Source organism: Homo sapiens, chromosome 18 (genome assembly GCF_000001405.40).
Source record: "Homo sapiens chromosome 18, GRCh38.p14 Primary Assembly".
Classification (NCBI taxonomy): domain Eukaryota; kingdom Metazoa; phylum Chordata; class Mammalia; order Primates; family Hominidae; genus Homo; species Homo sapiens.
In genome coordinates, this window is record NC_000018.10 from 76,172,551 (window position 1) to 76,185,215 (window position 12,665).

Consider the following 12,665-nt stretch of genomic DNA (forward strand, 5'->3'; position numbering starts at 1 on the left):
TTGTTTGAGGCAGGCAAAAAGCTGTGAAAAGCACTGGGTTCACGAGAGTTAGGAAAAGCCTCAGGTCTTGAGTTATGAACTAAAATGAGAGCTGGGAAAAAGATGTAAAAAGCATTGTTCCTAAGAGTTAGGGGGAAAAAGTACATTCATTGTGTGCAATGATTTTATTTAAAATCTACTCTAAATATTTAGAGATATTTATGTTTTACAGAGTCACACTTATAGCTTTCGAAGGGACAAAAAAACCTTTTTTATTGAAATTCCTGTAGAATAAACCAATTTGTTGTATAGAGTTTGAAATTCATTGTGGCAAAACCTCTTTCCAATAGGAATACATTTCATGTAGGAATTGTACAGGGTTTTCCAAAGAAAGGCAACTAACCAGCTACAAAAGCAAAAATTTTTGAAATAACAGATTTTACTGTTCTTTATTGAGTTTGATTCAACAGGCCAAACATTTCCCACAGAAACAGGAGTTTGTGGTTTTTCAAAGCATTTGGCCTTAGCATCTATTTCCTTGACTTGGCCAATATCGGGCAAAAATCTTAATCTGCAGAATGTAATGCCCCAGACCCTCCAAAAACTAGCCATTTTGTCTCATAGACAACCGAGTTTAAACATCCTTCTGAGTTTAAACATCAAGACACGCGCATGAGTCGGAAGGAGACAAGGATCGCCCCTTCATGTGCCTGGTGTGCACCAGCTTCTCTGGGTGACCGCAGTATCCAATCCACACACAGAAGAGAATGAGCAGTGATAGGAAAGGCCTCGTTGGAGGCTAGGAGGCAACTTCCTGAGAGAACAACCTCTTCCTCCTATGCTTCCCCCACCTGGAGATGTCACGATTGCTTCTCCCATTTGTCATTCTGGAAATGTGCCCACCATTTTTCCTGCCACCGACAGTTCACCTGTCCTTCTGAGGGTCCCTTCCTCTGCACGAGCTCCAGCAGCCACTGCGTCTTCTTCCATGGACTTCAGACCTCCCCTCAACACAAGGACGTCCCCGCAGAATGGTGTGGTCATGTGAGCGGTTCAAAAGTGTGTCCTCTTTTTTTACTTCTAGGTAAGGAGTGAATTCTAGAGAGATTTTAGCCAAATAAATAAATAAATAAATAAGTGTATCTCTAGTTGGCCAATGACCACTTAAGCTCCATGGCATAAATTAATACAGAATATCATATTTGATTATCTTCAAGAGGAATGATGCAATGAAACCACTTTGGTAAATAGGACAACTTAGTGCAATCCAGAGACATTATAAAATCTCAGTAACTTTTGTCTCCGTTGCCTGAATTTGGTTATTTTCTGTAATTGCAAGAGGTAGACGTAAACTATTTGAAATACGATGAGTTTGGAACTTAGCATGCCTTTACCCAGATTTCTTTGGAGGAAACGTGTTGGCCGTCACTTCTTCAGAGTACTTGCAGTATATAAAAAATCAAAATGAATGATTAACAGCTAAGGCTTAAAGTCGTACAGACCTGGCCTTTCTGTTGCTTATTCTTCCTTCAGAAATAATGATTGAATTATTGAATAGCGATTGAACATGCCACCTATCCCAGTTCTGACACTCAGTAGATCTTTGATTTGGGGAAAGCCATTTAACATTTTTGAACTTCACCTTTATCGATTACAAAACTGAGAAAATAACACGATCTCCCTAGATTGTGGTAAGGATGCAGTGAGATAATGAATGTAAGCATTTGCCATAGAGCAGCACTCAATACATAGTAACTATTGTTGTAGCTGTGACTAACGAGCGTTTCATGAAGAAAATATATTCTGTGCTCACATTGGCCTAAGTGTGACTTCCTAGTAAATGTTCTAAGGACTTGATCAGCCACCCTCCTCTCTAAGCCCTGCGTCTTGCAGGCTTAAATAAATCACTCATACATCCAGACTGAGCTGACAGATAGACTTTAAATTCAAGCCAAAGAATTGAGTGCATAATTTTACAAAACTATTCCTCTGTGGTCTGGGTTTGGTGTTAGAAACATTTGCAAATGCATGTTTGGCCTTTTTGTAGTATCCTTGGAGAAGGAATGGACAAATGAAGGGGTGTTGGCAGTGGCTTAAGTCATTAGCTCTGTAGTGTACTCTGGTGCAAACGCATGGGGTGACGATGGGAAATCCAGGCAGAGAGAGCATGATTTTATCCCACACATCAGCTTATCAGATTACAGGGGATGGGGGCAGCAAAAAAAAAGGCAGTGGGAAATAATTTAACATTTTTCCTCTTATCCTGTCCTGTATACAGAAAGATACAACATTATAAGCTAAATTGGTTGGCTAAAGTGTTTCTGAAACTGCTGACATAAAATTGGAAGTTTTTGAAGGCCAAGGATTGCATTTCCTTCAGTCTATGTTAATCCATGCCGCATTACACACACAGTAATAAACTCACTGATGAGGAGAATGGCATGAATTTCACACACCGTTTCACAGACCCACAGATGTGGAGTTGCAAGGGTGTTACATGCCATCAGCCCAGCACACCCTCCTTCCCTCTACCCTCCATCCCTCTACCCTCCACTATTCTACTGGACCTCCTCACAATAGAAGAACAATTATTGCTCCTGAGAACGTGCATTGAATCCCACTGGATGCCAGGCACTGTCTGATCTGTCTTCAGGGATGAACTTATCTATTCCTCCCAAACTCTTATAAGGTAGCTACTCTGACCCCCTTTTTAGATATGAGTAAACCAAAGCAATAGGAAGTAATTTATCTCAGGTCATTCAGCCTCTACAGAGCAGACAGGTACTCTGCACCCTGGCAGCCAGGCTCTGGAGCCTGTGCTACAGTTGCTATTTGAGGCTGTGATACCGCCATGAAGGACCCGGTCAATCAATTATTAGAGCATTTCCTTCAAAACTTAGTGAAGATTGTTCTACGAGTCAGAGGCTCTTCAGTGTCCAACAAATGGGTGCAAACTGGCCCTTTTCCTCTGAGTCACTACTTTTCCGGGCAAAGTTTCTGTAGTTGCTTCCATTGGTCTATATTCACGCCCACACCCAGACTCCCCTAAGCTCATTTGTAAGCTGATAAAGTCAGTTTCAGGATCCTCATCTAAACAGCCACTTTTCCCTGTGAGTGTTTAATGATGAAAAAGAGAATGGGTAGTGGTGTTTCACTGTGACCAGTCATCTGGGAAAGATATCTGGAGGTTCCATTAAAAAGGATGAAGGTATTAAAACTGAGGAAGAAACTGAAGTGAAAACAGATTTTGAGAAAGAATCTGAAGTGAAAACAGATGGAACATATAAATTTTCTGCAGATGATGTGTTAATAGTGCTGAGGAAAAAAAGGGGGCTCTGATCTAAGGGGAGTAGTCACATATGCACTGCCCAGGACCAAGCACATAGCTCAGCATGTGCTGGAAATCACAACTGGTGTGGGAGGTACAACAAGAACATTAGGGCTTAGCAACTAATGCACCTCCACCTTCGCTCAGATTGAAAAGTAGTTTTGCATAATGAGAAGACTGGGGACTTGAGGCAAACAGACCTCAGTTTGAATCCCTGGTGTAGCACCTCATAGCTGTGTGGTCACCAGCAAAGGCCCTTCTTCCCGCGTTTCAGGTCCTCCTCTGCACATTACGGAGCTGGTGTGATGCCTTCCGGGCAACATCTCCTAGTTACCATGAGCTCCATTAAGAAGAGACCAAGTCAGTCTTGTTCCCTCATTAACCATCCATTGGCACGGTCCCACGTCCTGCGCTCAAATATGTGCAGCTGAAGGACGTTAAGGCTCCTAGAATAGAGCCCAGGGTTAGGGCTCCGTGAATAGTAGCTGTTACCATCATAAGAATAGTGGGTTTTATTCAAACTCATTTCGTGTGTGCATGGCATAGTTTTCTGCATCTATTATAAGAAGTAGTACGGATCGGGATTGAAAATTAAAGTCAAATCCTTCTTATAACACAGGCTGCTTCTTTTTTCAAAAGATCTTGTCATCTGAATTAATGTGCTTGTGCATGCATACATGCACATATGTGTGCATGGAACACCATGCATGTGTGTTTCCATGATGTGTGTCTGTGTGTGTGCATGTGTGCATTCATGTGTGTGTATGCATGTGTATGTCTCTGCGTGCATGTATGTAATACTGTCAATCTAAATAACAATAGACAAAGGATCTCTAAAAATCCACATTTACTTGAAATTAGGGCATTGTAATGGAAATACAAGTGCCATAGTAAGCTGTGTGTATATTCAGGGAGGTAAAGGAAGACAAAGGTTTCTAAAGGAAAAATGAGGAGGATTATATGTGTTGAGATAATTATCCTCAGCTATGAGGATCAATAACAAGGACAGAACCTTTCTGGGATTGGACAGGAAGCTGCTGGGCCAATGTCCTCACAGAAGTATTTTTTGTATGATTTTGGGGACGGCCTTTGAGCAAGGATGTGGTTTTTGCAGAGTCTTTGGTGATAGTTTTGTTATCAGGCATTTATGCATGAGAATCCTCCCTTCATGGCCTTCCCCAGCTCCACTGGTCAGGGATTTTTTCAACACAAGTGATCTCTTTCAATTCTGGCAACTTTCACATTTCCTCCTTTCGATCATGATCTCTCTCCAGAAGCACCGATGATCAATCAGTGATAGGCTTTGAATGTCCCTTGTCCTGGTTGCTGGTCTGGTCTTGTGTTGGGAGTAAGTGGTGGCTAAGAGTCAGTGTCAAAGCTGTTTGAGCTGCATTCAAGCAACAAAGGATCTTTAAAGGGAAGGGCTCTCGGGACAAGTCTACCTGGAATCCATTATTAGTTCACTTTTGTCTATTCTATAGTCTTTTGCTATCATCTCAAAGTACCAGGTCAGCATTATTCTGTTAGGAGTTGTACTTCTACAAAAAATAAAAATGTAACAAGTAACAGATACAAAGTTTAAAAGGGGAAAACACAAAATACAATTAATAGCAATATGATAATTCCAGTTTGCCTAATGGTTTTGAGCCATTGAACCTAGTCTTAAAGGCAAACAATTGAACAAATCAGAAAACCATTATTCTTTCCAGTGAAAAGAGTAGAAATTAAGAGGGGTGAGTACCTTATTATGATTTGGAACCTTGTTCTGACATCTTGGAAAGTGTATGAAAGCATCGACTTCTTGTGCTGGCTTGCAGTTCAGATGCCTATGGCAATGGCTTTGGGTGGTTTGGTGAACTTTCTGTGCAGCTCATACATCAGGCACTTGCTCATAAAAACTTCATCTAGTTTCAGCTTATAGTGCTTTAGGAACACAGAAGTTCCTTTTTTTAGTAATTCCATGGAAGGAAGTTGGAGGAATCTAGAACTCAGAGATCTAAGTTAGTCTGTAAGTAGATAACCAGAACTCAAAAACAGTGCACAGAGCTACAATCTGATAATGGGTGTACTAGAGCATTTTTTTAGAAATGTAACTTTTTCTTTCCACATTAATCACATAGGAGTCTCAGATTTTAAGACCTGGTGAAGCCAAATCGAGGCCGACTTTAGATTTCATCTACAGTTTTAAGATTTCTGGTGCTGCCGAGAATTGACAATTTTACTCACCACTCTAAGACTGGGAGAACTTGAAACCAGGCATTCTATGCACATTCTCAAATATGTCATTCCAGTCAAAGCATTGATAATATAATCAATGTTTTTAATTGTATCCTGCTATAAATAGAGGACTTTTTATAGAACTTATGCAAATAACTATAGTGTTATAAAAAATACAAATAGTTTTTGAATTTTGAGAAATGATGTAGGGAGAAATAGCAAATGCTTTCCACCTTTGTTAACAAAAGTATTTTTTACCAAATTATTGTTAGCTATAGATTAGCTTAAGAAAAAACATTTTCTTACATCTGAAAAATAAAACATTTAAGTAAAGAACCAATAATGCATCAAATAAAATTCATAAAAACAATAATCTTCATCAGTTATTTAATCTCATACGATACATTTTTGTTCCACTTGATTTTCATTAGCAGTTTTATGAATTTATTAGTTTATTCATTAGCATATTTAAAATGTTTAATTTAGCCCATTGATCTTTAAATTATTAGAGACTTGTATTTAAAAGTGCTTGTTGGTGTCTTTTCCATGAAACCGATCGCAGATGCCTTTAGAGAAAATCAAAACTGTGGAAGACAGAGTCTTACAGTAACCATGGTTAGGAATCTGATGGAAGTTCATTATCATCACTAATTAACAATAAAATATGGTTATTTTGTGGCATATAAGATAGTCAGAATTATGACTGATGATATATGAGATTTATATGAATTATATACAATTTCAAACATTCATATCAATAACATATGATAAATGTAACTGAAAGAAGACATAGTATCACTTATCATTTGACAATATTTTTCTATACAATTTACCAGATAAGCCTTATCATTTCATATCTCTATAAGATGAGAGCTATATTCTTTGAGACCACCCAGGGATCCAGTAGGAAAACCTCAAAGTTAATTTTAGGTCACAAAGACTTAATTTAGAATTTTGATATTGGAGAAGCCTGTCAAAGATGAAAAAAGGTTAAAACACTTGATCAAAATAGGATCACAAATCACTGTGAAATCACAGTCATTCATTTAGCCAGAGTGATAAGAGACTTCAAAAAGTAATACAGAAGGTTAAATGGATGTAAAAACCTTAGCCTTTTAAAGCTCAATGTTCCTAAGTAATCGAATACCTAATAAAAACAACACAGAAAATTATCTTGCTAAAACATAAAATATTTGTTTCTTAGGCCAGTTTCCAAAAAGGGAGAGAGAAGCCTTCATAATGTGATTGCTTTTCCATATGGGAAGCCTCTTTCAATAAGCTGAAAGTTGAACCTGATGAAAACACTACTTGGATTTAATCAGACACAGGAAGAGAGCATCCAAGGTTATGAGTGTGCCCCATTCTAGAGGAAAACTAGTACTCTGAGCAGGAGAATGCATGGCTTTTAGTAACAGCATGGGACGTTTCCCGGTTACATGGAACAATTCAGAGGCAATGAGAAAAGCCAAGTACACACTCAAGTTATACTGGATAAAAAGATTGCTTTTCTAGGCCTTCAGTGTAAACATTGTAGCATCAGACCATCACAGCAGAGTTAGAAGAGAAAAAAGTTAAAGGAGAGAGTTATCATTCCAGTCCTTCTCAAGAGGAAATACAGGAAGAGCAGAAGGCAATGAATGATGTTCTATTAGTCAGAGTTCTCTGAAGGAACAGAACTAATAGGATGTATGTACATAGGACAGAGAGTTTATTAGGAGAATTGACTCACATGATCACTAGGTGAAGTCCCACAATAGGCCATCTGCAAGCTGAGGAGCAAGGAACCCAGTCTGAGTCCCCAAACCTCAAAAGTAGAAAAGCTAATAGTGCAGCCTTCAGTCTGTGGCCCAAGGTCTAAGAGCCCCTGGCAAATCACCAGTGTAAGTCCAAGTGTCCAAAAGCTGAAGAACTTGGAGTCTCATGTTTGAGGGCAGGAAGCATCCAGCACAGGAGAAAGATGAAGGCCAGAACACTCAGCAAGTCTCCTCATTCCACACTGCCAGCTGATTAGATGGGGCCCACCCAGATTGAGAGTGGGTCCACCTCTCTCAGCCCACTTACTCAAATGCTAATCTTTGGCAACGCCATCTACACCATACAGACACACCCAGGAACAATACCTTGCATCCTTCAATCCAATCAAGTAGACACTCATTATTAACCACTACAGTTGTATAACCTGCAAATTACAGGTGATGAGATACAGCAAACATTGAACTTCTGAAATACGAATCTGAGAAGTTTTAAGAGGAAAACTCTACCTTGAGAAATGAAATTACAAGTTTAAATGAAAAAGACAGCATTTCTAATCTGAAACTAAGGAAATTAGTGACTATAAAACAGAAACACAGCTGCAGAGAATTAAAAATCAAAACCTCTTTAGACTAAAGAACTTTTGACTTTTAATTGTACTGAAACCAATATTTTAAGAAAATCTTGTTGTTCTTATTGAGGGAGCCAAATTTTTAGTTTTGTATTACTATATTTTCAATATCAAAGATCAATGTTTAGAAAGATTTATAAATAATTCCCTTCTAAATATAGCAACTTGAGGACATAACTTTTTTTATCAATTCATCCTTCACAAACCTTTTGTGACCTGCACAAAGCCTTGACATGATGCTTAGGCTTTCTGCTTTGTTTTGTCTTCCTCTTTCTCAAAAAATAACCAGTCATTTTACTTTAGGACAAACATTTACTACACAAGATTATTTTCCAGACAAAATTTTCTCTTTTCTCTTTAAACTTTCTTAACAAATATATATCTTTATAATAACCATGACTTTCTTATAACCCCCTCCTTCACTCATTCCTTTTTATATTGTTTCTATTTTCTAATTTTAATTTTTGAAACAACCTTTAAATAACCTCCAAATTAGAAAAAAAAAAATTCTCAATAAGGAACACATTTTTGGCTGGGCACGGTGGCACGCCTGTAATCTCAGCACTTTGGGAGGCTGAGGCAGGCAGATCATGAGGTCAGGAGTTCGAGACCAGCCTGGCCAATATGGTGAAACCTCGTCTCTACTAAGAATACAAAAATTAGTTGGGCATGGTGGTGCACACCTGTAGTCCCAGCTACTTGGGAGGCTGAGGCAGAAGAATCGCTGGAACCTGGGAGGCAGAGGTTGCAGTGAGCCAAGATCGCAACATTGCACTGCAGCCTGGGTGACAGAGGGACATTCCATCTCAAAAAAAAAAAAAAACAAAAAACAAAAAACACATTTTTATGTCTTTTTAAAATTTTTCTCATCAAAACACATCTTACTTTTTTGGCACACTTTGTATACATAATTACATATATTAACAAGAATTTTAACTCTTAGTAATCTTGATTTTTAGTGAAAATCTAGGAAGCAAGAAATTTTGAACTGTCTGTCACATACTAGTGTTTTATAGATGAGAATCTGTTAATAATTTTGAGAAACATCATCTTCCATAACATAATTTTTACATGTATTAATAGACCCAAATATATATATCTATAAATTTTTAGAAGCAAAGAACATTTATGTTCAGTAATTTCAGTTTTTATCTTATTTCAAAATGACCCAGACATTTAATAAGTTATCATTTTAACACAGCATAACCTTAGTATTTAAAATTACATAAAAATTTTATCTGTATTTATTCCATTTATATTTACCTAATTTATTTTTAACAATTTACCCAGATTACTTATAAAAACTGAGCTATTAGATAAAGCTAACCATTATTTCAAATTATTTCCCTGTTAAGCATTTTTATAGCCTGTGAATATTAGGTGTTCATGTAAGCAGAAGACTTAAATATAAGAATATGTTGTTAATAACTCAGCAGATACAGCTGTTTTTATTAAACTACAATATTAAATTAAGTTTACATATCAAAGAGTTACACAAACAAAGATTATTCTGCTTTTTAGGCTGGGTTTATCATTTTCTGACCTTGAAACATCTTGAAGATACAAATATAAAACTGTCCAACCAGTAAACGCAGGCAAAAATGTATGCTGACAACTTTATTTTACTAATTTAAAAAACAGCTTCTTTATTATTATATATTTTATATGAGTGCTCATTTATCTTTGCCAATTTGAATAAAATTAAGGGATTTCTGGCTAACTACATCAGATTTTATAATATAGACACAATATATAACAAAATTCGATGTACATATGTGTAAATAGACCTAAACATATATCCACACACAAATGCAATCTTATAAATTTCATTTTAGAATTTTGGTCATGAGATAGTAATACAAACTCACCAGTTTATAAAAGACTGCTGGATCAAAATTGTATTTTGGAAAAAATAAGCCTTGTTCAAATAGCTCCCTTGTTCAAATGGTTATTTGCCCCAATACGTATCCTAATGAAGGCTGTGGACCAATGTTTTGGGGAAAGTAAGTTGGTTTACAAAAACTTCTTTTGCCCCGTTTTGTTTGTTTTCTTTTTTTAGCTTTAAATGGGTTTAACGTTAAATTCTAAGTTTACATTTTAGCCAGGATCGGCTGAATTGTATAAGAAAAAACAAAATCTCTAAGCAGCCTTGAATTAGTAATGAATCCACAATTTGTCTGCTGGTCTGATTACCAATTGAGAGTAATCAATGTAGGTGGAGAGGCATGTTGGCAGGGGTTTTTTGTTTGTTTGTTTGTTGTTTTGTTTTGTTTTGTTTTTTGAAGTGGAGTCTCGCTCTGTCACCCAGGCTGGAATGCAGTGGCACGAACTCGGCCCACTGCAACCTCAGCCTCTCCAGTTCAAGCAATTCTCCTGTCTCAGCCTCCCAAGTAGCTGGGACTACAGGCACACACCACCACGCCCAGCTAATTTTTGTATTTTTAGTAGAGATGGGGTTTCACCATATTGGTCATTTTTTCTGGCCCCCACATGGCAAACAAAGCAATTTTTATGCATGAGAGAGCTACCTTTTATTATTGTGCTTAGCTCAAAATTTTGACCTGTTTGATCTGAGAGCCCCATTTCTATAAACATTTACCTAGTTTAAGACTAGTAATACTTGAATTAACTATTCCATAAGCTTAAGCAATTGTTAGTCAGGCAAACCTAAATTTGCATTTCTAAAAGACGTTTAGATGGTTGGTTGCCATGAGGCTGTTGTAATTTGTAAAAGCATTAATTTTAAAGTCTTTAAGACTTTTTTTTTAATCTTACCTGGAATGCCATAACAGAGAGTTTTATGGCGACATCAGCAGAAAAGTCAACAGGTTCAAAGTAGGTAGGAAAAGAAGCAGAGTGCTAGAGGATTTAGAAGCCTCTATGTGTTGACTCTACCATTGTATTCTCTTAATTTGGTGCAAAGAAGAAAACAAGCTTGGGAAGTTCAAATGATCCCAATGATTGCCATTGATCAAAAAACATGCATGAGGAAAAGCCATGTAGCTGGCTGGAGACTCAGAAAATCTGATATGTCTAAATGTTTGAAATTCCCATTTTATTTCTTTTTAATCTCTTCAAAGCAAAGAAAATTCTATCACTCCTATGAAAGAATGTCGGGAGTTTGGATGAGTGTTTTAGATGCTGGGGACTGCTCGAATGGATTTTAATTAACCATCTTGCAGCCATCATTTAGAATGTTTATTTTTTTCTCTAAGAAGATTTTCAGAAATCAGCATGGGAAGAGACCCAAATCACTTGCAGACACGCAGAACCAAACCAAAATGAAACCAAGATAAGAGTGATCACAAAAATGTTAACCCAGGCATGCAGATCAAACAAAATACTAAATTAGGCACACAGAAACAAAAGTGAATTCACCAGAAAAGACATTCTTCACAAACAGAACATAAATTCTGTAAAAAGCAGGGTACTCAGATGAACAGACACTTGTCCTTATACAGTAAGGGCTTTCCAGAAAAAAAAAAAAAAAAAAGGCTTTCATCATCCCAAGAGGAATGCAAGGTCCTTGACTCAGTTGGCCTTATAACAAAACAAAAAGTGAAGCTAATCAGCCTCTACCAAAAATAGGGAGGCCTAACCTGAGAAAAGACTCACCAGGACAGAGAAGGTGAGGCCATGGAAGCAGAGAGCTCTAAGGACCGAAGTGAGTACTGTACACCAGGTCCCAGAACTGCCAATTTCTTTCACAAGTGATCTTTCTTCAGGTCTGACTTCTGGACACAATTTTTATCAATGTAAATAATAAACAGAGAGGGGGGTCTCTAAAAGACAATGACAGTTATTTGGGAATGAGGCATTTCAATGGAAATATGTGTGCCATAGTAAGCTAAGTGCATATTCAGGGAAGTAAAGGAAAATGACAGTTTTTAAGGGAAACAGGAAAGAGGCTATATAACTGCTTCTGAGTGATATGGTTTGGCTGTGGCCCCACCCAAGTCTCATCTTGAATTTTAACTCCCACAATCCCCACATCTCGTGAGAGGAACCTGGTGGGAGGTGATTGAATTATGTGGGGAGGTCTTTCTTGCAATGTTCTCATGATAGTGAATGGGTGTCATGAGATGTGATGGTTTTAAAAACAGAAGTTTCTCTGCACAAGCTCTCTTTGCCTGTCACCATCCATGTAAGATGTGACTTGCTCCTCCTTGCCTTCAGCTATGATTGTGAGGCCTCCCCAGCTACGTGGAACTGTGAGTCCAATTAAACTTCTTCCTTTTGTAAATTACCCAGTCTTGGGTATATGTTTATCAGCAGTATGAAAATGGACTAATACACTGAGATTATTATCGTTAGCTACAAGGATGAATAACAAGAGTGACACCAGTCTAGGGTTGGAGAGGAAATCGCTGGGAAGATACCCAAACAGAACTATTTTTTGTGTAAAGTTGAGATGGCCTTTGTGCAAAGTTGTGGTTTCTGCAGAGTCTTTTGTGATAGTTTTTATCAGGCATTAATGCATGAGAACCCCTCTTTATGGCCTTTCTCACCTCTGTTCATCAGGGTTTTTTTTTTTTAACACAAGTGACTTCATTCTAATTGTAACAACTTCTGCAACACCAAGACCATTTTTAGAAAGGGAAGAGGAACATTTGTCTGTGCTGGCCAAGGCTTCAATACATGCAAAGCTTTCAAACCCCAGGCAAGGACTGGATCTGGAGGCAGAACAAAAAAGCGAAGGAACAAATTTCTAATTTAAATGAGAATAATGGCTGCTTTTTCTCAGAGCTTCTCAACATT

The 12,665-nt window shown here is 37.7% G+C and overlaps 1 long non-coding RNA gene across 1 annotated transcript; it reads right to left on the reverse strand.

The window, feature by feature from the left end:
* Positions 1–230: 230 nt before the first annotated feature.
* On the reverse strand, positions 231–12,013 carry LOC124904360 (uncharacterized). The gene is made up of 2 exons (XR_007066473.1): positions 5,049–12,013; positions 231–1,077 (listed from the first exon to the last, which is right to left on the reverse strand). It is a non-coding gene; the product is annotated as an uncharacterized LOC124904360 (long non-coding RNA).
* Between the last annotated feature and the right edge of the window lie 652 nt (positions 12,014–12,665).